The sequence below is a fragment of the Homo sapiens genome, chromosome 11 (assembly GCF_000001405.40).
Source record: "Homo sapiens chromosome 11, GRCh38.p14 Primary Assembly".
NCBI lineage: Eukaryota > Metazoa > Chordata > Mammalia > Primates > Hominidae > Homo > Homo sapiens.
The window spans coordinates 78,416,316-78,439,613 of NC_000011.10; the positions used below are offsets into that span (position 1 = coordinate 78,416,316).

The 23,298-nt window shown below is 42.9% G+C and overlaps 2 protein-coding genes and 1 long non-coding RNA gene across 24 annotated transcripts in view, besides 8 other annotated features; all 3 read right to left on the reverse strand.

Annotated features, from left to right (window-relative positions):
- Nucleotides 1-1,505, reverse strand: part of GAB2 (GRB2 associated binding protein 2) — a 202,528-nt gene extending 201,023 nt beyond the window's left edge. The window contains exon 1 of the mRNA NM_080491.3: nt 1,331-1,505. Coding sequence (NP_536739.1) covers nt 1,331-1,405 — 75 coding nt within the window. The 5' untranslated portion in view covers nt 1,406-1,505. The remainder of the gene's footprint in view (nt 1-1,330) is intronic.
- Nucleotides 108-402: a silencer, noted in NCBI's record as "tiled region #74; K562 Repressive non-DNase unmatched - State 1:Tss". NCBI's record gives its function as "represses a minimal TATA promoter and a strong SV40 promoter by Sharpr-MPRA in K562 cells {active_cell/tissue: K562}" and the evidence as "EXISTENCE:reporter gene assay evidence [ECO:0000049][PMID:27701403]".
- Nucleotides 491-1,245: an enhancer, noted in NCBI's record as "H3K27ac hESC enhancer chr11:78127852-78128606 (GRCh37/hg19 assembly coordinates)". NCBI's record gives its function as "activates a minimal SCP1, AML or CMV promoter by ChIP-STARR-seq in primed H9 embryonic stem cells {active_cell/tissue: H9 hESC(primed)}" and the evidence as "EXISTENCE:reporter gene assay evidence [ECO:0000049][PMID:30033119]".
- Nucleotides 865-994: a silencer, noted in NCBI's record as "silent region_3811". NCBI's record gives its function as "represses an Ori minimal core promoter by ATAC-STARR-seq in GM12878 lymphoblastoid cells {active_cell/tissue: GM12878}" and the evidence as "EXISTENCE:reporter gene assay evidence [ECO:0000049][PMID:35858748]".
- Nucleotides 1,065-1,164: a silencer, noted in NCBI's record as "silent region_3812". NCBI's record gives its function as "represses an Ori minimal core promoter by ATAC-STARR-seq in GM12878 lymphoblastoid cells {active_cell/tissue: GM12878}" and the evidence as "EXISTENCE:reporter gene assay evidence [ECO:0000049][PMID:35858748]".
- Nucleotides 1,275-1,894: a silencer, noted in NCBI's record as "silent region_3813". NCBI's record gives its function as "represses an Ori minimal core promoter by ATAC-STARR-seq in GM12878 lymphoblastoid cells {active_cell/tissue: GM12878}" and the evidence as "EXISTENCE:reporter gene assay evidence [ECO:0000049][PMID:35858748]".
- Nucleotides 4,181-4,230: an enhancer, noted in NCBI's record as "active region_5322". NCBI's record gives its function as "activates an Ori minimal core promoter by ATAC-STARR-seq in GM12878 lymphoblastoid cells {active_cell/tissue: GM12878}" and the evidence as "EXISTENCE:reporter gene assay evidence [ECO:0000049][PMID:35858748]".
- LINC02728 (long intergenic non-protein coding RNA 2728) lies at nt 7,667-13,521 on the reverse strand. The gene is made up of 4 exons (NR_120564.1): nt 13,385-13,521; nt 10,994-11,215; nt 9,022-9,090; nt 7,667-8,880 (listed from the first exon to the last, which is right to left on the reverse strand). It is a non-coding gene; the product is annotated as a long intergenic non-protein coding RNA 2728 (long non-coding RNA).
- Nucleotides 10,229-10,394: a silencer, noted in NCBI's record as "fragment chr11:78137590-78137755 (GRCh37/hg19 assembly coordinates)". NCBI's record gives its function as "represses an EF-1alpha promoter that drives an FKBP-Casp9 reporter gene in an ReSE screen in K562 erythroleukemia cells {active_cell/tissue: K562}" and the evidence as "EXISTENCE:reporter gene assay evidence [ECO:0000049][PMID:32094911]".
- Nucleotides 10,800-10,999: an enhancer, noted in NCBI's record as "active region_5323". NCBI's record gives its function as "activates an Ori minimal core promoter by ATAC-STARR-seq in GM12878 lymphoblastoid cells {active_cell/tissue: GM12878}" and the evidence as "EXISTENCE:reporter gene assay evidence [ECO:0000049][PMID:35858748]".
- The window catches only part of NARS2 (asparaginyl-tRNA synthetase 2, mitochondrial), a 138,897-nt gene continuing 135,251 nt past the window's right edge, over nt 19,653-23,298 (reverse strand). For 21 of the 22 annotated variants that reach the window (NR_189155.1, NR_189156.1, NR_189154.1 and 18 more), the window contains one exon: nt 19,653-20,499. Coding sequence is in view for 18 of the 22 variants with exons in the window: in NM_001425314.1 (NP_001412243.1) it covers nt 20,355-20,499 (145 nt within the window). In the remaining 4 variants the exon portion in view is untranslated. Of the gene's footprint in view, nt 21,653-23,298 lie in introns of all 22 variants that reach the window. The other variant, NM_001425305.1, reaches the window with a different exon arrangement.

Here is a 23,298-nt window from a genome sequence, read left to right on the forward strand (position 1 = left end):
GATTTCATTGACACACACTTGTACTCCGCAACAACAACACTTCCTTTGAAAAACAGAATGTCACTTCCTCAGTCCAGAGGCCAGAAGTCCCTTGATTCTGATCTGGGGAGCCAAGACAGGAAATTCTGGTAGGCTTCTGCCTCTCCCCCCATGGACAGCCACTGGTGCAGCTGACAGAGGGCAGGGTCTATTCCGAGCTCCCTTGATGCACTGCAGCTGGAGGCAACGGCTCCCTTCCAGGCTGTGGGAGTGATCCCGGAGTTCGGCACCACAGCCCGTTAAACAAGGGCATTTCATGGGAAACGGAGAGGGAGCAGATGAGAGACCTTGAAACCTTCCAGCAACCTTACCCCCACTTCCAAACTCCCGCGACTACCCCAAGACCATTTCGGCCAAATCTCAGTAACTGGCACCATCTTGTACTTTGACCTCACCAGGCAAGGCATCCTCTGGGGAGAGGGGTTAAAAAAAAAAAAAAAAAAAGCCAGAACTCCACGGCTCAGCGCCACGCTGTTCCACCTCCCCCAGGCTGCCAGTTCCCCACCTAGAGGGAAAAGGCTGTTCCAGCGATCTCAGTAAACACTGTCGGTTGGCAACACCTGGCCGCGGAGAGCCTCGATCTCTCCCGACCCCAGACACCCGGGAGCTGCCCGGTCCCAAACCCGGGCCAGCCACGGGGACCAAACTGCAGTGTCACACCGGGGTCGGGGGGAGGCGCCTGTGAGAGACGAACGGAATAAAGGGAAAGAAGGGGGACAAACAAATGAGTCACTTAATACAAGGGCTGCACATGCCGCTGACGCTGCCGGTGATGCAGCCGCGGACGGAGGGAGGCCGGCGGCCGGGAGGGGCAGGCGGAGAAAGGGAAGGAGAGGGCGTGAGGCGCTCGCCCTTTGTGGGGCCGTCCGCGCGGCCCCACAGCCTACGCCCCCCTTTCCCGCCCTCTCCCCGACCCTGCGGGCTGAAGCTGCTCGGGGCTGCCGCGGAGCCCCAGCCCCGAGAGTCAACTCTCTCGGTCTCCAGAAGCCATCAATACAAAACTTCGACACTGTATTTAGTTCACGAGCAGACCGGCTTGGGAGGCGCCGCAGCCGCACCCGCCTGGCGGAGCAGGAGCCGCAGCCTCAACCTGCCGCCCGCCCCGCCCCTCGGCGGCCCACCTGTGACAGGTGTGCAGGTGCCCCACACGCCCCCGGCCGCTCCTCGCCCCCGGCCCCCCGCGGCTCCGGGCCCGAGCTCCCCAGCCTGCCGCCCCTCCGGGAGTCCCCCGCCCCTCCGCAGGCCCCGGAGCGCCCCCCGCCCGCCCCTGGGCGGCCGCGCCCGCACTCACATAGCGCCTCAACTTCTTCTCGGGAGGCGATTTCCTCAGCCAGCCGGTGCACACCACGTCGCCGCCGCCGCTCATGCTGCCGGCCTGGAGCCCCCCGCCGGGTCGCGCGGACGAGGGCGCGGGCTCGGGCAGCTGGGGCAGCGGCCGGCGGTGCGCAGCTCGCGGGAGGCCAGGGGCGGGGCGGGCGGCCCGGCGGGGACTAGGCGGCGCGGCGCGGCGCGAGCCCGGCAGCCTCGCGCGCGCCCGCTCCCCCGCCCCGAGCGCGCGCAATCCGCACTCTCCGCCCGGCCGCCGGGGGAGCAGCTGCAGCAGGAAGGCCGGCTCGCTCGCCACGCCCGCTCCCGCCGCGCCCCCGAGGCCGCCGCGCACGCGGACGCGGGGCTAGGGACCCGCGAGGATACAGAAAGCCACCGCCGCCGGCGCGCCCCGGAGTCTCGCTTTCTCCTGAGGCCCCAAGCCGCGGGCGCGGAGGCCAGGGAGGCGACCGCGCCCCTGGCGCTGGCGGGTGTGAGGGGAAGGGACTGCGCGCCCTCGGTCGTCGATCGATTTTTCACCGAGCGTCGACGGGGAAGGGATACTAGGGCTGCTCACATTTCCGATACATTCTGCGGGTCAGGTTCCGGCTGAAAGGAGGGACCCCTTCCCAGCAAGAAGCTCCTTAACTCTGGCGTCCCTCGGCGGGAGGAGGAGACGGACCTACTACGCGCCGGAGCCTTTGCTTTTGTAGCTTACAGGATTGTCTTCAGTATTGTTCCTATTTTATGGACAGCCTAAGGGCAAGGGCTTGTACAAAGCCGAGCCAATTTTCCAATTCAGGTGTGTGGGGGAGGAGGGGTCCCGGTCATCTGCTATTCAAAATGAGGGCATTGCCTTAATGGGATCGACCTGGGAGCCTCTCATTGCCTGGAAACCAAGTCCAGCTGACTCCCTCCTACACTGCCTCTGGGAAAACACAGTTTAGTATAGAAAATTCGCATGATTTGTAGAATGGAAGAAGCAAAACTAGTCAATGTATTTCATAACGAATTGGAAGGCAAGGTCAAGTGCAGAAGAACAAGAAATTGGGGTCCAAATTCCCCAACGTTCCCGCTCATTGACACAGGCTATGAGACCTCTGTTTGTAAATATAATGGTATCCCAGATGTACGTGGAAGCACACAACCCCAGCACTTCAGCGGGAGGGGGGAGAAAAAAATCTTTTGTACGAGCTCTTTTCTCATCACAAAGTGTCTCTCTAAGCAGCATTAAAAGGCAGGTCCTCCCTAACTTCTCTGATAAGTGGATAGTAACCTGTTTATTCAATGGGGAACCGTGCTGTGTGGACAGATGAATTGGAGAAGCAGCATCTTGCAGTGCCCCACACAACCTCAGACTAAAGCTGTTTTGTTTATTTCTGTCTCTGTGCAGCTGAGTTGTTTCAAGCAGTTGGACATCATTTGGTCCAAAAGATCTTGATTGGGTTGGGGGAAGTTCACCCTCCTCAATTTGGAAAAGCGAATCCCCTACCACGTACTTAGCTCTTCTAGATACCCTGGGAGTTTTAGCGGTCAGTCCCCTGGATCTAACATTTCACTGACTTTCTTCAATATCCAGTGTGCTGCTGGATGGGAAGTAAAGCCAGAACTGGTAGGCTGGGACCACAGCTCCCTTAACCTTACAATTTAGGGATCCTTAAGTCACGTATGAAGGGCCACCACCAGAATGATGGCCATTTTAACTTCTGGCTTTAAGTACCTTAAATCCCTGTAAGACAAACAACACTTAACGTCTGCCAAATCAATCAGGAGGCGGTGACTTCCAACCAAAATAAAACTATCCTGACTTCATTCACATCTGAGTCATGGTGCCAAGTCCCAGAGATTGCAGAGTCGGAGAAATCTGCATGGTTTGGCTGCAGCTGAGGTTTGTGATGCAAGTCAGGCATACGTATGCCCTATCTTCCCCCAGAAGAGTAGTCTTACGTATCCTTTGATAGTTACATGATTCAATACACAGACTGGAAGACTGTTTAGCAAGAGTTAGTGGGGGTTAGGTCATATTCTGCCAGAAATTCCTTAAAGTCTTATTTTGTTTGCTTAGGAAAAGATGGTGTTATTTACAATTTCATGTGGAAATGGAAAAGTTTGATGTTTCTTGTTTGGCCAATGGCAGGAGGGACCTTGAAATATGAATACAACAGTCACCAGGTATCGACTTTGGGAAGGGTTCTCTGAACACCCCCATCTTTCCCCAAAGGTTAAAGAAAGGAGCTTTTTTTTTTTTTTTTAGACGGAGTCTCGCTCTGTTGCCCAGGCTAGAGTGCAGTGGCGTGATCTCCGCTCACTGCCAGCTCCGCCTCCCAGGTTCACGCCATTCTCCTGCCTCAGCCTCCCTAGTAGCTGGTACTACAGGCGCCCGTCACCACGCCCAGCTAATGTTTTGTATTTTTTTTTAGTAGAGACGGGGTTTCACCATGTTAGCCAGGATGGTCTCGATCTCCTGACCTCGTAATCCGCCTGCCTCGGCTTCCCAAAGTGCTGGGATTACAGGCGTGAGCCCGGCCGAAAGGGGCTTTTTTACTGTGCTCTTCAGCTGGACTCCCACCCTGCGTCCCTCTTGCTGCTAGTGCCCATCTCGGGCTGTGCATAGGAAGCAAGACTGCTGCTCAAGTCCCTGGCTGCACCCTGGAGTGGCTCAGTCTTTTGAGCCTGAGAGGCGTGCCAGGCCTGGAAACAACCCTTGGACGGAAAGTTCCTGTCTGGGCTTTTACTAAGTCCTCTCCACTCCCTGCTGTGTGTGTCTGTTTAAATGGTCCCCGGTTTTTGCTGGGAAAAAAATGGAAAACAAATCATTTGAATGATTTACATGAAGATAGGCGCCATCTATCGGAACCAGTTGGGGTGACAATCCCCCCACCCCCAAGCCCTGAGCGGACATGCATCACTAGCCCATAATTTAGGCAATTTTGTTTAAAGACCACTGGTATTTCCTGGGGGAATTAATCGCCGGCTCCAAGAGTGCTTTGGGTCATTAATCTTATATTCTTATTAAATTCTCAGGAAATGACTATCTTATGAGGAGGGAGCACTGCAGAGATTAGAGAAATGCACACTGGGAGAGCATGGGTACCACTTTGGCCCCCGCTCATAGCTACTCCCACTCCCCACAAAGCCTGGGGTTCTAAAGGGTGCACTGTGGCTTTGAGTGTCGTCAGGGACATCCGTCGCTGCATCCGTGCCTGTCTGGGAGTTGAGGGTTTGTGGCCAGCGGCAGGTGCATGGCTGGTGGAATGCTTTCAGAAACGGGTTGAAGGGCTGGAAGGAGAGCTGTCCTCAACTGCACACCAAGCTTGTGTGATTAATACCACCCACGCCAGGCCTGACGTCAGTGATTGGACTGGGGGTGGGGATGGATGTTTGTGTGCTAGCCCTTCTGCTTTTTCTCCCCTTCAATTTAGTTGACAGGTTAATTTCAGAACTGAGTGCTGCTTACGAAGGTCAGTGTGACCAGCTGAACCACCTCAGCTGGTGTCTTTCAGGACACTCATCTCTCAGGCATATAAAGGTGTATGCTTCTTTAACCCCTAGTTACTTGAGGCCCACATGGTTCCCTATATCAAATTACCTTAACTTACTCAAGTCAACTCTGGGCATCTGGTTGAGGATGAGATCTGGAAGTGGGAATGGGGTGGGGTTAAAGACCTAATTGGGTTTCCTCCCTGTCTGTGGCTAATAGTCTGAGAGTTACTTGACACTATACCCAGTGGGAGACATTTTGAAAATAAACTTTTGGCCGGGTGCGGTGCCTCATGCCTGCAATGCCAACACTTTGGGACACTGAGGCGGGTGAATCACTTGAGGTCAGGAGTTTGAGACCAGCCTGGCCAACATGGTGAAACCCCAACTCTACTAAAAATACAAAAATTAGCTGGGTGTGGTGGCGGGCACCTGTAATCCCAGCTACTTGGGAGGCTGAGGCAGGAGAATTGCTGGAACCTGGGAGGTGGAGGTTGCAATGAGCTGAGATCGCACCATTGCACTCTAGCCTGGGCGACAAGAGTGAGACTCTGTCTCAAAAAACAAACAAACAAACAAAAAAAAACTTTCTTAGAGAAAAGCTTGAGCAATCCCATTTTCCCAATTTCTCCTTTGAAAATAACCAGAATCAGTGCTAATGGCTCTGTGGCAGTTAGGCTCCCACGACTTTGCTGCTGACACTGGTAAATCAGTTGTCATAATCCACCAAGAACAAAGACTGTCAAGATCCTTGAGAAAGTGCTGTAGTCTTCCAAACCACACTCTGCAATGCTGGCTCCTTTTATTTGCTCTGCAGAGAGAACTCCTACCTTGAATTAGATCTTGAACATACGTCAAGACCTCTTTCCCTAAAACTGACTGTCCCCATTCTCCAGCAAAGTTGTTCACTCTTTTCTTGGTATCCACACTGCACTTATATAAATTGGATTATCACACTGTACAGCAAATATTTCCTTGTCGAGGAATTGTGAGTTCCTTGAAGACATGAATGTGTTTTTCTCACTTATTATTTTTTTAGAGACAATGTCTTGCTATGTTGCCCAGAGTGGTCTCAAACTCCTGGGCTCAAGTGATCTTCCTGCCTTGGTGTCCCAAAGTTCTGGGATTACAGGCATGAGCTACCACATCTGGCCCTTCCTCATTTTTGTATTCCCAGAGCTTCCCAGCATGGTACCAGCACAGAATAGATGCTCATTAAATGTTCATTGTGAGAATGAAGGAACCAACCCTTAAAGGATGACAGGTTGGGGCTGTAGACTACTGGAACATCTAGAACTCTCTGATCCATACAAACCAGAGAATAGTATTTGTGAAGGTACCTATAAGTGGCTGGAGTGGTTTTTTTTAATAAAAATTGTCAGATAACATCGATGTGTTTATTATGTACAATATGATGTTTTGAAATATAAATACAAATACATAAAATACACTGTGGGATGGTTAAATCTAGCTAACTAACAAATGCATTAACTAATATAGTTATCATTTTTGTGGTAAGAACACTTAACATCCACTTTCTTTACATTGCGTTTAAACCCACAGGGACGGCCTAGCTGGAAGGACTTAGCAGGCTGAGGTAATCCTGTGCAGTTCCACTTTTAAAAATGGTTGTAACTCGACATAGAAAGGAACGAGATCATGTCCTTTGCAGGGACATGGATGGAGCTGGAAGGCGTTATCCTCATCAAACTAACACAGGAACAGAAAACCAAACACCGCATGTTCTCACTTATAAGTGGGAGCTGAACAACGAGAACACAGGACACAGGGAGGGAAACACACACTGGGACCTGTGAGTGGGTAGGGGGTTGGGGGAGGGAGAGCATTAGGAAAAATAGCTAATGCTTGCTGAGCTTAATACCTTGGTCATGGGTTGATAGGTGCAGCACACCACCATAGCACACATTTACCTATGTAACAAACCTGCACATCCTGCACATGTACCCTGGAACTTAAATTAAAAAAAAAAGAAAAATTCCAGAAACATGTGAGAAAATAAGATTCCCCCGAAATCTTAAAAACAAAAACAAAAACAAAAAAACATGGCTGTAACTCTTGGATAGTTTCAGAAAACAATGACTCCTTTTAACCTTTTAACTGGTACCCCCAGATTCCAGAGAACCAACTTTGTCAACCCTTGGTTTCCAAACTCTGACACTGTTGTACACTCTTTACACACCCTCCTTTGTGGGACTACAGAATTAAATCTCTTTGCGGTTACTCTGTTATCTGGCTTCACTGTGACAATCCTACAGGGGTTTAGCACTTAACCCCTTGTACCAGATGCAACACTAGTGAAGCTGGAGAAAACCATGTCCCCTGAACTCAAAGTGGCTTTATTCAACAGATGACCAGAAACGTCATTTCCTTCTGCACCTGATAAATTGCATAGTAACTGTGCAGGCTTGCTAGTCTTTGTTTTGCTGGGAACCTAGAGGCCTCAGGATTTCACCTCATCTAACTATATAATTCTACCAGAATTACCCAAGATGATTGTCCGACAATATAGCCAATGATGTGCTGGCAAATATTTTAAAATTGGCTCCCTGGTGGTGTTGGTGGGTGCCTTGATTTACAGTATATGCCAACTGTTGTGGCATAAATACTCTGCCAGCCATGGCCAGTTTTAAGCTATCAAGTTAATGTCCTTGAATACAGAGTTAAGAGATACACAGTAATACACCATTATTTAGTATTTCCAACATAAAGACACAATAGACATAAATAACACCAAGAACACAATAGTAAAATGTAATTAGCCAAGTGATGAGTTTGGGGTAGTTACTACCTTTCTTTTTAATATAACTTATTTAATTATAAGTTTATATAACTTAATTTTTAATTAAGATATTCACGTATCACAAAAGTCACCATGTTAAAGTTTATAATTCATGGTTTCTAATATATTCATCAACTTTGACAACCACCACAGCTATCTAATTCCAGAACATTTTCATTACCCCAAAAGAAACACCATATCCATTAGCAACTCTCCATTCCCCCAATCCCATCAGCTGGCAACCGCTAACCTACTTTTCATCTCTATGGATTTGCCAATTCTAGACATTTCACATAACCATATTCATACAATATGTGACCTGTGTGTCTAACCTCTTTCGCTTTGTATAATGTTTTCAAGTTTCATCCATGTTGAAGCACTTGACAGTTCTTTATATACCGCATTTTATCCATTCATCAGCTGATGAACATTACAGTTGTTTCCACTTTTTGGCTATTATGAATAATGCTGTTGCGATCATTCCTGTACAAGTTTTTGTGTGGACATACGTTTTCAATCTACGTATTTATCTAGGAGTGAAAATGCTGAGTCATATGGTGACACTGTTTAACTTTTTAAGGAACTGCTGACCTTTTTTCCACAGTGGCTACACCATTTTACATTCCCATCAGCAATGTATGAGGGTTCCAATCTGTCCACATCTTTTCCAATGCTTATTTCCCTTTTTTTATTACAACTTAATTTTAACGATGTTCTACTTTAACAACCATCTTGCAAAATTCTTCACAATTGAACAGTCTACTCTCCTGGGTTGATACCACTGCACACAGCCACCAAAGAAAATCTCACCACCATCTCACTAGTCAGTTCCACTTCTTTTTGCTGGCAAGAGCAATACTCAACAGATTTGAATTTCCTTCCTCTTACATCCTTCCTATAGAAAACTGAAACAAAAGATCTCAGGTTCCCTTCTCTTTGGTAATTGAGATGACTTTTGACTGCTGGAGAATCACAAGGTTTTCAGCTCCCACCAGGCACCCCAGCAGAACAGGGTTTGTTTCCCTCCTACATTTGTGTTGAGAAACAAAACTAAACCCAAAATGTATCTTAGTGACACCCAGATGTATCTTCCGGAGGAGCTCTCAAGCAGTTGCTTCAACAGGGCAAACAGCTGTGGTCTGTTTCAACATAATTTGATGTAATCAGGGTTAATTCTGATGATGTAGTAACTCTGAAGACTGTTTTTTAACTGGATTATTGTTGGGTCAACAATCATGTGGCATTACATTTAGTGGCTGAAACAAAAGCCAGAATTAAAACAGCTTCCCCTCAGCCCCCACCCACCCCTTCTAAATGACAGCCTCACCGGGAATGTAAGTTATGAGGCACATTTAACACAATTAACCAAAAAAGGAAAGTAGGTGCAGTCAAATTACCTGCAAGCATCTCCAAGGTCCAGTGTCAATCTAGAGTAAGAGCTGGAAACTTTGTTGTTTTTTCTTTTCCTAGAATGGTTAGAAAATATGTTGGCAGCAATCAGTATAATTTAATATTTTCATAACATTCTAGGAAAAAGCCCCGAGATTTTCCTCTGAAACTTTCCTGAACCAGACAAATGATTTTAGCAGTTCACAGTTCCTCTGTATTTTCCATGCATGTTTTCAAAATGATTATTGTAAGTGAACACTAAATTCACGGTGTGGCATACCAGGGCTGAAAGAGTGTGGTATACAAAGCTCTGAACACATCTGGCACTGTTTCTGAAGAGCAAGGTCTTTATCTTATTTTCATAGATTTGGCCATCATTGTTTATGGTCAGTCCACTTGCAGGGTCTGGGCTGCTCTACATGCACACATACTTATTTAGTCTCTTCCAGTTTTTAGTTTTGGCTAGCCTGAAACACAGCTAACGCCCATGACAAGGGCCATTCTTAATACAGTTCTGGAAAGCAGAATCTTCAAAAATAGATGGTTTGGGAAGCTGCCAAATGTGTTGGTTCTTCAAAATCTTTTAAATCCAATTGTGTGGTTCCAAAAAAGGTCTGACGTGTCCAATCCCCTCTGTAAATAAGCCTCCATTTATTTGCTTTCTGTTTTTGTGACTTAGATTATTAAAAAATTTGAAAAGCAAAGAAGCCACTTACCCTCCTACTGCATCTTATTTTATCAGGAATTTCCCATCTAAGTAATTCCTGATTGACATATATTCTGGGATATGTAGATGTGATTATAAGGTAATGAGACTTAAAAAGTAATGAGAATTCCTTCTGTAAGTCACACAGTATATTAATTTGACTTCTTTTAGTTGTGAAAGCAGATACTCATTTCAAACTCACTCACGATCCAATGGAGATGGTAAGTGAGTTATCTCCCGTGGAACCCATGGAAAAGTTGAATAATCTGGCCTCAGAAAGAGTAGCAACCAGGGAATAAACATGGCAAAAACCAGGCATCCATTTTGCATGTCTCCCTCACCTCCGAACATTTTGCCTTCGTTTCTTTCTCTGAAGACTGCTTTCTCTGTCTCTCTGGGTACATGGTTATACCCACTGGCTCCTAAGTTTATGTGTTCCTGGCTCAAGCAACCAGTCCAGACTCTCCAGTGTCCTCAACCCCAATTTCCCAAGAGAAGGTGAAACTGGTCTATTTGGGATCAGGTGTCCATCCCTACACCAATCAGCAAAGGAAGCTCTGGCCCCCAGGATGTCTGCTAGGGACCCACTGGCCAGGACAGGGGTAGGGGAATTGTCAGAAAAAGGACAGGTTTGATAACTAAGTAAGACACCTTGGAAGGTGTTTAATAGAGACACAAAAACCAATCTTGTTTCTTTCCCCTAGTATCCCTTTAAATTAGGAATATACTTAGAAAACCATATGTTTCTTTCTATTCAAATACAAAATATATTTCTATTCAAACACATGTTACTAGGGAATGGTTATTTATGTACAAGTTAGTCAAGTCTCAGCAGGGATTTTCTGAGAACCTACTACTTCAAGTTCAGCATAGGAATACCAAGATAAGACTAGGTTCTTCAGAATTTCAGGGTCTTTCTGGGGAGAGAAATAGGCAGGTATCTCCAGTAGTATTTGGGCAATGTTATAAGAGGTATGTTCAAAGGACTGTGGGAGCACTGAGAATTATGAACCAACTGTATGGGGACTGAAACTACATGAGGTTAGGTTTAATTTTGGGTAGCCCACAGATAGGCACAGAATAGACATAAGTTAACATTTGTTAAATTCGATGACATAAATAGTAGCTACCTTCAATTTGGAGGCAGTAAAATTGTCTAGATTAAGGGAGCAAGTTGGGGAAAACCACTAACTGAAAATCTGAGCAATTAAATTCATTTGGGACTAGCTTCTGAATTTCTTCTCAATTTAATACAATCATTCAACAATACTTACTGAGCATTTACTATGCACAGGCACAGGGCTAGGTGCTGGCGATGTGATGAACAGCATAGAGATGTTCTTCCGAATAAGTCTAAGTCACTGTATTCCAGAAGCAATGCCAGGAGGATGCCCTAGAAGTCACCTTCAGTAACAGACAGATAACTAAACTCATTACTACTTTTGATTCCTGCCTTTTGGTCCTGTGTTCAGGAAACAGCTCCAGGCAGATTTGTGCTGAAAGGGATAGTTTAAAATTTTATGAGATATTTCAGACACATAAGGAGGGAAAAGCTAGTTTTGGGAAATTTTTTTTTTAAGAAATATTTCCCTGTTGTCTGATGGACGTATTTCCCCCACCCTGTTTTTGGTCACCTTAATGATTCAATTGGTGGTTTCTAAATGAGTGCCCACTATGTGTCAGACACTCTCCAAGGCACTGCAGATATAAAAATGAATGCATTCTTATCCCTGCTGTCGCGGACCTCACATTCTGGCAGAGGAGACGAATGGCAGCATAAGACAACCGGTATTTGCATAAGGCGCTGAAGGAGCATAACGAAAGGAGAAAGTCTGGAAGCCATTGTCCAACCCTTGGTTTCCTGAAGTAAAAATGATTTCAACACTAACACGTGAAAATGCGGAAATCCTAGCTGCATTTTGGAGTGTCACCACTCTTGAAATAAAGCCTCATAGGTTCAGAAAATGTGATCAGAGCTGTTAATATTTTGATTCTGGGTGACTAAGAAGTGACAGGTGTGTAGCCTGAGAAAGCCACCCAAGCCCATTTACAGGCATGTGGAGACAAGCAATGTTGAGTCAGGGTGCAGGGTACACCCCAGCTCTATCGGCAGGACAGGTACCTGAGCAGGGGACTTTTAAAATCTTCTGTTGAGAGCTACTAACCCATCAGAAGAAAATCAGTCAAGAACTAAATGACAGTGAAACTTGACACAAAAATTTCCATATCGGATTTTTAAAAAAATGATTGTTGATCTCAACAAACAGCCCACTCCTACTTTTTGAGAAGCATTAACCAGCACAAGTTTGTACTTAGTAAACTAGATGTAAGTTGTTTTCAATACAATTGACATATCTGGCTGGGGGGTGGGGTGGAGAAAGGAAGGGGAAGCACCTGGATGTTGATACAGTACTAGGCATAGAAGGAACCAGAGTGGGAGATTAACACTTGCATAGAAAGAAGAAAACATTAGGAGAAGTGGTGGGGAGAAATGGAGTGAGGAAAAGAGATAAAAGTTGAGAGGTGTGGTAGTTTCTACACTGCAAGGGTTCCAAGGGGTATCACTGCAGGCTGGCCTTCCCATCCTTGATAGAGACACATAAAAACCAGCTCAAGCATGCAGAGAAAACAGGTAACTTCTTCAATGAGCAGATTTGTATAATTATTACTTACCGTTTAGTGTAAAAATATTAAAATCTCACTGCAGGTTTCTCAGTACAGAATTAAAATACTTACACTAGAATTACTCAGGGTGACTGTTTAAAACAATGTAAATTGTGAGCTAGTTCCATCACAGACCTACTGAATCAGATCTTCTGGTGGGAGTAAGATAATGTGAATTTTTAATACGCTCCGCAGTGATTCACATACACAGTAAACTTTGACAAGACTGTACAGAATGGGAGTCTCTGAGAGCAGGGAGTATGTCCTATTTGTCTCAGCACTCATAGAATCTAGCACGGGGATTGGGAGAGTGAGAGCTCAATAAAAGTTTATTGAACTAAACTGAATACACCTAATATACCTAAGAGTCTTTAAAGCAAAAGTCACTCAATTCCACTACCCTGTAATCCATTTTTTCCATATTCTAGTCTATGTACACAGGTTTTACACTGTTGTAATTGCAAACTCACCATTTTAGATTGTATTTTTCAATATATTTTCTCTTACAATTTTTAATGGCTGTAAAACATTCCACCCAACATGAATAAGTATCTCTGTTCATATAGATTTTGAGTTTTGAAAAGGTTTTCCTTAGGGGACCTTACATTTGTGCAGTGCTTGTCAGTTTATGAAACCCTTTCACACAATCTTCATTGCTTTCACAACACTCTGTAAGATAAGCATTATCCTCATTTTGCAGCTGGGTATACAGACTCAAAGATTAATTAACTTGCTCAAGCTTCTACACCTAGTAAGTGGAATGTCAGATTAAACCAGGATCTTCTCACTATGCATTTAATGCCCTTTCCAAGGCACCAAATAATTGGACCCAACAGTTTCCTGATGCAAAAACCTGTAATTTAAAATGTGGCAGATGGAAATTACATTTAAAGAGAACATTGGTCAGCTATATCCTAACTATATAGGAATCAGCTCCTGCCTCTTGGGGTATGGCAAAGAAAATGCATATATTAGTTGACAACTTCTGTGTAAGAACTTACTGTTCTTCAGCAATGCCTCATAACGCTGTCTGTATACGATCCAAGCCCATTTCTGCAATCCTCACATGAAGGGAGTTGGGACTGTCCCTGAACACTCTGACACTGTAATTAAAGTTCTTCGGCAACCACCACAGGCTGTAAGGCAGATAGGAAGGAGGCAGTGGAGACTTGAAAGCTCTTCTAAGATTGGTATCACAGGAAACTTGGGTAGCAGCTGAGTGAACAGGAGAGGGAAGCTTTTATGTACCAATAGAAATGCCCATTATAAGGACACACGACCTGATGAATAACAGAGGGGTGCAGCACTTCAGGGAAGGACAGACAGTCCACCTGAGCAGTTAGAGGTTCTATACTGGAAAACAGGAGGAGTTGTGTTTCTATTTTATTCCATTTGCATGATACAGAGAGACAGGTTTCCTTATTCTCAGGTAGAAGTTTCTAACAACCAGAGCTCTCTGAGGAGAGAAAAACTTCTTGGCTGGGTGTGGTGGCTCAAACTTGTAATCCCAGCACTTTGGGAGGCTGAGGGAAGCGGACTACTTGAGCCCATGAGTTTAAGACCAGCCTGGGCAACAAAGTGAGACCCTGTCTCTATAAAAAATTAGCTAGATGTGGTGGCACATACCTGTGATCCCAGCTACATGGGAGGCTGAGGATTGCTTGGGCCCAGGAGGTCGAGGCTGCATTGAGCCATGTACACATCACTGCACTTAAGCCTGAGCGACAAAGCAAGACCGTTTCCAAAAAATAAGGCTAGGCACAGTGGCTCATGCCTGTAATCCCTGCCCTTTCAGAGGCCAAAGTGGGAGGACTGCTTGAGCCCAGGAGTTCAAGACCAGCCTGGGCAACATGGCAAAACCCTGTCTCTACAAAAAATACAAAAATTAGCTGGGTGTGGTGGCTTGTGCCTGTGGTCCCAGCTACGTGGGAGGCTGAGGCAGAAGGATCACTTGAGCCTGGGAGGCTGAGGCTGCAGTGAGCTGTGATCACGTCACTGCACTCTAGCCTGAGTGAGAGAGTAAGACCCTGTCTCTAAATAAATAAATAAATAAATAAATAAATAAAAGATCTCTATTAAGATAGTGAGTTCCTATTCAGTGAAGCTACAATAGGTAAATTACTAGGAATCAGGAGAAATACAGAGGGGAGTAGTTCATATATCATAAACGGGAAGAATTATCTTCTTTCCAAGATTTTTCAAAACTAGGTTCCTAGGAAAATGGCAAACCAGCAATTCTTATTGAGCTAGTGTGTAGAGAAAGTTATGAATCAAAGAATCACAGTTGTAGATGGCTCAGGTTCGGCAAAATACAGTTCCAGCTGTGTACATGGGCACCTGTTGCAGAAAAAAAACCTTTGTTACACAGGCTCACCATGTATCTATTTTCAGATTATTACCTTGAAAAATCAAAGGTCTGTGACTTCGAGGAAGATATTAATAATTCCTATCAAAGTTTCTTTCATGTATCTTTCTATCCACAATTCAAAGATGATCCTAAAAGGAAGGTGGCAAATGTGAGTATAAACTGATAACAAATTGAGGCACAATGAGCTTAAGTACATTGCTGGGTCTAGGATCCTTTACCCCATTTTTAGTGTTTCTCTTTACTCCAATGTATTTGAGATCAAACATCATCTTCCTTCACATTCTCCTGTCCCTTCACCCTGGGTAGAACAAGGTCAAGGTGAGTATTTTGCGACACATTCAGTAAACTCTGGGGCTTAAGATGCAAGATTCTTTGGTTATTAGGTTTTATGTTTTTTGGTTTCTCTGGAAGCTGAGGGCAGTGAATTTTATTTGCAGTCTTTCTCTCAGTATTAGGAACTTTCGATTTTTTTTTTTTTTTTTTTTGAGACAGAGTCTCGCTCTTTTGCCTAGGCTGGAGTGCAGTGGTGTGATCTCGGCTGACTGCAAGTTCCGCCTCCCGGGTTCATGCCATTCTCCTGCCTCAGCCTCCTGAGTAAGCTGGGACTACAGGCGCCTGCCACCACACCCGGCTAATTTTTTTTTTTTTTTTTTTTTTTTTTTTTTTGTAGAGACAGGGTTTCACCGTGTTAGCCAGGATGGTCTCAATCTCCTGACCTTGTGATCTGCCGGCCTTGGCCTCCCAAAAGGAACTTTGAATTTTTATAACAAATAAACCAAATAAATTTCATGACCAGTAAGATACAAAGGAACAAAGTCCACAATGTATTGTCTTGATAACTAAGAAAATAAGATACATGAAACATGTTTGTGAACTGTAAAGCAATGCCTAAATAATAGTCATGTTATTAGTAACAATTATGAACAGTAAAGGTATAGCAGAAAATTTTTGAAAAGTCATGAGCTATGTTAATTCAATGACCAGCTGCCTGAATGACAGTTTAAAAACCACCTAAACTCCTGGTGTCTTCTTTATAAAGGTCCCCCAGAAACTATCCAGTGTGCTGATAATGGCTAGAAATTCGCTGGACTCCATTTATGGTAATGCTGGGTCCAAACTGCACAACAGCTAACTGGAGCCTTAGTTGATCACAGGCCAATCTAGGGCTCCTGGCAACAGTAGAATGTCCAAGTTCAGGGAGGGATGCTGACCATGACTTAAAATACTTTCTTACAAAAGCCATACTAAATCATTTCAATACAGTGATTAAGGTTGCTTTGGGCCCTTTTCTTTTTCTTTTTTTTTTTTTTTGAGATGGAGTCTTGCTCTGCTGCCCCCCGCTGGAGTGCAATGGCACCATCTCGGCTCACTGAAACCTCCGCCTCCCAAGTTCCAGCAATTCTCCTGCCTCAGCCTCCCAAGGAGCTGGGATTACAGGAGCCTACCACCACAGCTAGCTAATTTTTGTATTTTTAGTAGAGATGGGTTTCATCATGTTAGTCAGGCTGGTCTCGAACTCCTGACCTCAGGTGATCCGCCTGTCTTGGCCTCCCAAAGTGCTGGGGTTACAGGTATGAGCCACCGTGCCCGGCCCGCTTTCTGCCCTTTTCTTAACGCTTTTACTATCTTTTAATTCTGAAGATTAACTGGGGAGAAATTATAATCAGATGTTACTCTCACCTGTTTTTTTAATTATACATAGATTGCAGACTGAATACAAATATTGATCAGAAGCCAAAACACCCCACACATTACTTATCAATCAACCCAGGCCAATCTGTCTTTCAACTGTACATTTTTGTGTTCTTGCCTCACCACTTAGTAAAATAAACATAAGAATAAATAGCAATCCAATCCAAATAAGCATCTCTCATCTATAATTATCTGAAGCAACGGATTTAAAGATGGGTAGAGTTAATCCACCTCACCAAGTACATCTTCAATGCCTGTTCAGTCATGCTTCAATGTCTACATTCAATTTATAGAGAATATGAATATATAACATTGTAGAGGGAGGCTTCTGGCAGATCCAGTCTGACAAGAACAAAAGGTCAAATAGTTCTTTTGCTATTCTGTGACAGTTGAAGAGTCTCTGGGTTGGAGAGTTATGTCTAGATCTGGAATGGATCACTCACACAATTAAGTTCTTGTCAGACCTAAAAACATGACAGCACAACTTTCCCCAGGCAAAAGGACAGCCAGATGGAAAGCAACTATTTTTCTCAACCTATCTCAAAATTTGAAATAAGAATGAGAATAATGGAAAAAACCTTTCTAAGTTTTAGAATATACTTCTACTTTGGTTGCTGGGGTTCTTATTTTCAGGTGGCATTTGGAAATCTTAGGAAAACATAATCTGATTTCTTTCCTCATTGGAAATGGGTTGCTCAAGTGAAAAACTAACCCTCTTATCACCTTTTAACTCAGAAACTGAGCACTAAAAGCTATTATGGTGTAGACAGTACTCAACTATTGAATCCATACGTTTATTCATTATACACTGACTTATACAACACTGTTTGCAATGTAGAATTTAGATATTCATATCTCAGCTGATGAGTAAACATTTTGAGTTTTTTCCTGCTGATGCTGCCTGCAAGCAACAGTTCAGTTTTGGCATTTTCATCATCTTTGTCTGACTTGAATTTTTGTTTTTGTTCAATTATTGGCAAAATAGAAGTATTGCACCAAAGACAAATTATTAGGCTTGCTATAGGTGGCAAGTATTTGGCTTCAACCAGATATTCATTGTGTGATCAACTATCAAGGAAAAGAATGTATAAAGTTTTGGAAATACATTGGTGAAAACACTATCAAAAAGGCAAGATGCCTTGAGAAGGACCTTTCCTCCTTCCACATATACAGTATATGAACACATTTAAGACTACTGTTCAACTTTCAGCGATGTGACTTCGTTATACATTTTGGAGACTTAATATGTACTAAAATAGGGGACTACATATTGCCTAAAGGTTAGACTCTAAATCAATTATTAGTGACTAAGTTCAGCACAGGTTCACAGAAGATTAAGAGATAAAAGGATCCATAGAGCTTACCTACTTCAAAATGTGATAGTACTATAGATGAAAAAACTGGAGGTCACAAAGATTATTTTACTTGCCTAATGCTCTACAACTACATTTATGGTAATGCTGGGTCCAGAACCTGGGGTTTCTCTAACTCAGCAATCTTTCCATCACTATTATTTTGTTAACCTCTGTCATGTTAACATTACAATGCTATCAGGTCCCTCAAAAATCATGGGAGGCATAATTCCTGATAGCCTTGGAAATTATAGTGCCTCCAGGTTCTGGGTCTATAAATGTCCCTCATTCCACAAAATTAATATGGTATCTAGTAAGACCTGAATGCCAAATCAATACAGGCTGATGCTGCAAATATTTTTAAAATGTTTTCTGCATTTTATCTTCTAGGTCTATGGTTAAATGTCACTTTTTCAGACATGCCTTTTCTAGCAAGCTTATCTATGCTTTCCTGTTCTTCATATAACTTTACAGCACATACTATATTTTGAAATAAGTTATTTAATTATTATATATCTTCTCAAATATATTAATAATTCCATGAAGGCAGGGTCATTTCTGTTTGATCCACAACTGTTTATATAGCACCTACCACATAGTCTCGGCATATAAAAGAAGCTCAGATATTTGTTGAATAAACAAATGAATTTCTCTCTCTAATTATGGTTGAGGCAAGCCTTATGGAAGCCCTAATTATCCCTTTTAGCCTGTCCTAAACTTGATATCTAAGCCCAAGGGATTAAAGTTCCAGGGAAGTAGATTTTCCTGAGATTTTAGCTCAGCAAAAGCTACCAATTAGATTCAGAAATGGAATGAGCAATTTTGTAGGACACTGATTTCTTTGTCAAAAAGAGGCTGGAAAACCAAGTGCCCAGGTAAATGGAATCTCTCTGCATTAGGCAGAAGGTCAACTTTGACAAACTCTCAGGTGTCTTCCAACTCTTAAGGCTCTGGAATTTGTTTCTTTTCAGCTGTTTGATTTTGAATTAGGTTAAAATAAAGTATACATACAAATTTCATTAGGAAATAATCTAGGAGAACCCATCTAATGAGACTTAGAAAACTGATTATTCAGGCATGCATGCCCATTTACAATTACTTGATACATGCGTATTCTACTGAGAATACAATTTGCTATATAGGTCCTTATACATGTAACTCAATGAAGACAAAGACTAAAACAAGAGTTTTAAAAAAGTTTTTGTAGCATTTCAGTTTTAAACATATGCATGTGTGTGTGTGCACACGCACACGCACACACAAACACACATGTAATTATTTTATCAACTCTGAAGAAAATGATGTTGAGCTCCTACACAGTAAGCAGCCTGTCTAAAGTGCTAGAATTGTCAGGTTCTAAACTCCCCAATCAATGCTCTTCTCACTCTCATAGACCACAGTACTTTTTTTTTTTTTTTTTTTTTTTCTGAGATGGAGTCTCCCTCTGTCTCCCAGGCTGGAGGGCAGTGGCCCGTTCTTTGCTTACCGTAACCTCGGCTCCCGGGTTCAAGTGATTCTCCTGCCTCAGCCTCCCAAGTAGCTGGGATTATAGGCGCCTGCCACCACGCCTGGCTAATTTTTGTATTTTTAGTAGAGATGGGGTTTCACCATGTTGTCCAGACTGGTCTGGAACTACTGACCTCAAGTGATCCGCCCGCCTCACCCTCCCAAAGTGCTGGAATTACAGGCGTGAGCCACCATGCCCAGCTGACCACACTACTTTTAACTCTAGAATTACCCATCCTTTAGGCTCAGCCAAACTCCCATCCTCATCTTGGATTGAAAATACCTTTCTTCCAAATTTTACTGGGAAAGGACCAAATGAAATTAAAAAATATATAACTTTTTTTCCATAGGTGTCTATTAAAAAAATCTATTTTATTAGACAAATTATAAACATCAAATATAAACAAATTATAACAACAGTGATTAAAGAGTTGAAATACTTAATGTAATATCTCAACAGCTTTGAAAATTGAAAAGCAACAGTTATTAAACATGATTTTTTCATCCAGTTCAATGAAAGGAGATTTCAATTCAGAATAGCTACTTCTTTAAATCAATTAAGACCTTAAGGAATATTTTTTTCTGCAATGTTTAATGAAGTACTGAAAATGAGATAAGGATTTATCACAAAGTATATGGCAAGGGAGAAAAGATGCAACATTATTTTATTTCGAGCTACTAGATGGTTCTCACAAATTACACAGGGAGTGATTTAATGATTATAGACAACGTAAAATACATTATCTCATTCTGTTTTAGAGTTTAAAAGAAACTTTGAGACTAATTCAATTTCTTCATTTCTTAATTGAGGTAATGGATTTGAGAGTCCCCTTGCTATAAGTACCTCTTCTTGCGGGAGCTCATCCTTACGTGAAATACCCTCAACTTTCTAAGAAAATCACAACCACTTATATTTTTTCTATGATATCTTATGGCACAACAATTACATATTGAAATCTGCATTTCTAAAATCCAAACATGCATTCTGCTGTATGCACAATCATGTGCAGTGTCTCTGCCATGGGGGGTGCTTTTCCTTAACCAATCTTCCAGCTATAAAAGGCATGAATGAGGAAACCTTGGGAAAGGGATAACATCTTTGATATTGTCAACACCCAAGATGCACTGCAGGTAGCGTTCAAATCCCATCCCAAAACCTCCATGTGGCACAGATCCAAATCGACGAAGGTCCAGATACCTGTTTTTCAAAAATAGAAAATCATCATCTATATATAGTATAAGACCAGATGTTATGATTAGAATTTAATGTTTCAAACGTATTTTGCAATCATTTGTTATTGTTTACCTCACTGTGATAGACCAGTCTTTCCCCTCCACAGACAGACAATGGAAAGGAAGAAGCTGAATAATCTATCCAAGGTTACCCAGAGAAACAGCAGTGGATCCTGTCATACAGTCATGGGCTTTGGTCCCTTTTCCTTTTTAAGCTATTATATTTATGCATTTATGACAGAAAACTTGCCTCAGGAGGCTACAGAAAATTTTCTATAGATTTACTAATTTTCTTGAAAATATACGCCTCTTTTATTTCTTGGTAGGTTAATCACAATGTTTTCTTTTCCTTCCCAAAATCATATTGTTCAATACACAGAGGAGAGTGCAGAGTTTTGCCTGTTACATTATGAAAAGATATCCTATAGATTAGATTATAAGCTACAACAGGGCAGGAACTGTGCTTCATTCAACTTTTTATCACCAGGGAGCTCTAGAGTAGGTGTTAATTACATGAAGTTTTGTTTGAAGGCACAAAAATATATGCTTGAATGCTGGAGTGAGGAGAAACCTTTAATTCTCTGCCTTAGGCCTAGTGAAGATGCCCAGAGTCATTTAGCTGACATGCTAGACAGCCTCTGAAACCCATCCACGCACATTCTTTTCCCACTAAAGACCACATGGCAAGACAATGGCACAGACATGACTGAAACTCAGATTCTAACACACCAGCACTGGAAAAAGTTTTAGGAAGAAAAGAGGAAAAGGGCAACTATAAATATTTTATTATGTCATTTTGTGGGGAAATTCTTGAGTTATATAATATTGATTAAAACAAGTTTATCGGCCGGGTGTGGTGGCTCATGCCTGTAATTCCAGCACTTTGGGAGGCCGAGGTGGGCGGATCACTAGCTCAGGAGTTCAAGGCCAGCACTGCCAAAGTGGTGATACCCCGTCTCTACTAAAAATAGGAAAATTAGCCAGGCGTAGTGGCGCCCGTCTGTAATCCCAGCTACTCAGGAGGCTGAGGCAGAGGAGTCGCTTGAACCTGGGAAGTGGAGGTTGCAGTGAGCAGAGATGGAGCCACTGCACTCCAGCCTGGGTGACAGAGTGAGATTCTGTATCAAAAAAAAAAAAAAGAAAGAAAAAAAAAAAAAGACAAAAACCAAGCAAGTTTATATTTTCTTGAATGATTTGTAAAATCAGTTCTATAATAAGACGTAAGCAACATAACTTGTAGCCACTTGGTTCCTCAGTCATAAAGACTGTCCATCAACCTATTTCCCCACCATTAATAATAATGGCTACATATACTGGTATTGCAAGGAGTTAAGTCTAAGCACTTATCTTTTTAAAGGAAAAGATTAACTCCAAACAGATGAGTTGTAATCAGGTAAGAGACCAACATTACAGGGATATCTAGTATAAAACTTCAGATTAGTAATAACTATAAGAAATAATGGGAGGCACATTCAGTTATTCAGTCTTGAATAACTGAAATGTTTAGTTGCTAAATTAACTTTAAAGTTTACGAGGCAGCGGGAAAGAGTACACTTTGACTCAGTGATGAAATGAACAGCACACCAAACTACCTGTCACAGATGCCTACAGGACCTGACCTGGCTGCTACAAAGTCCAGCAATAGTTTTAGATGGGTCTAAATTTCTCATACATTGATATTGAAACACTGGCATGAATATCTGCAAACTGTCAGCAGAGGGGTTCAGTCTGTAGCATTTTTCTTGCCTTTGCTTTGATAGATGAAAAAATCCATTTCTAAGAAAAAAATTTTCTAATGTATATGTATTTGTTTGATTGTTGTTAAATTGGTTCCAGGGTAGCGAGATTATGGAAGAGATGCTACGAAATTTGTGGAACTAGTTACAGATTTAATTTGCATATGGGGTACAGAAATAGGAAGTGAGTAAATTCTTAGCCATCTGGGGTGGCTTCTCACCGTATGGTGGAACACTAGCAGACATCACAGATATGAAGATGTCTAAGGTCTCTTTTACCTTTAATATACTAATATAGAAGGAAGCAAATTCAAGGAGATCTTAAGGATCTGAAAACTTTAGTTGGGAAAAGAATGATTAATAAAGACTTTCAAGGCCTAAACTTATTTAACCAATTTTTTTTTTTTTGAGATGGAGTCTCACTCTATTGCCCAGGCTGGGGTGCAGTCTGTATTTAGCTTTTTTTTTTGAGATGGACTTTTGCTCTTGCTGCCCAGGCTGGAATGCAATGGCGTGATCTTGGCTCACTGAAACATCCATCTCCCAGGTTCAAGCGATTCTCCTGCCTCAGCCTCCGGAGTAGCTGGGAATACAGGCACCTGTCACCACGCTGGGCTAATGTTTGTTATTTTTGGTAGAGATGGGGTTTTACCATGTTGGTCAGGCTGGTCTCGAACTCCTGACCTCAAGTGATCCACCTGCCTTGGCCTCCCAAAGTGCTGGGATTACAGCCGTGAGCCACCGCACCCACGGTGGCTTTGGCTTTTTTTTAAGGCTAGTGGTTTAGCTTTTTTTAAGGCTAGTTTTTACAAACTATAAAATACATAAGCTTGCTCAATCATCAGGCTTATCTACCTAATAGCAAGACTCAGAACAAAGAAAAGAAAGGGGGTAGGAAACTAGCATTTACTAAGCTTCCACTCTATGTAGATACTTAACCTGTATTGTTTCATTTCATCCGCACAATAACTCTGTGAAGGAGATAGTATCATTCCATTTTATAGCCAAAAAAACAAGACTCGGAGAGA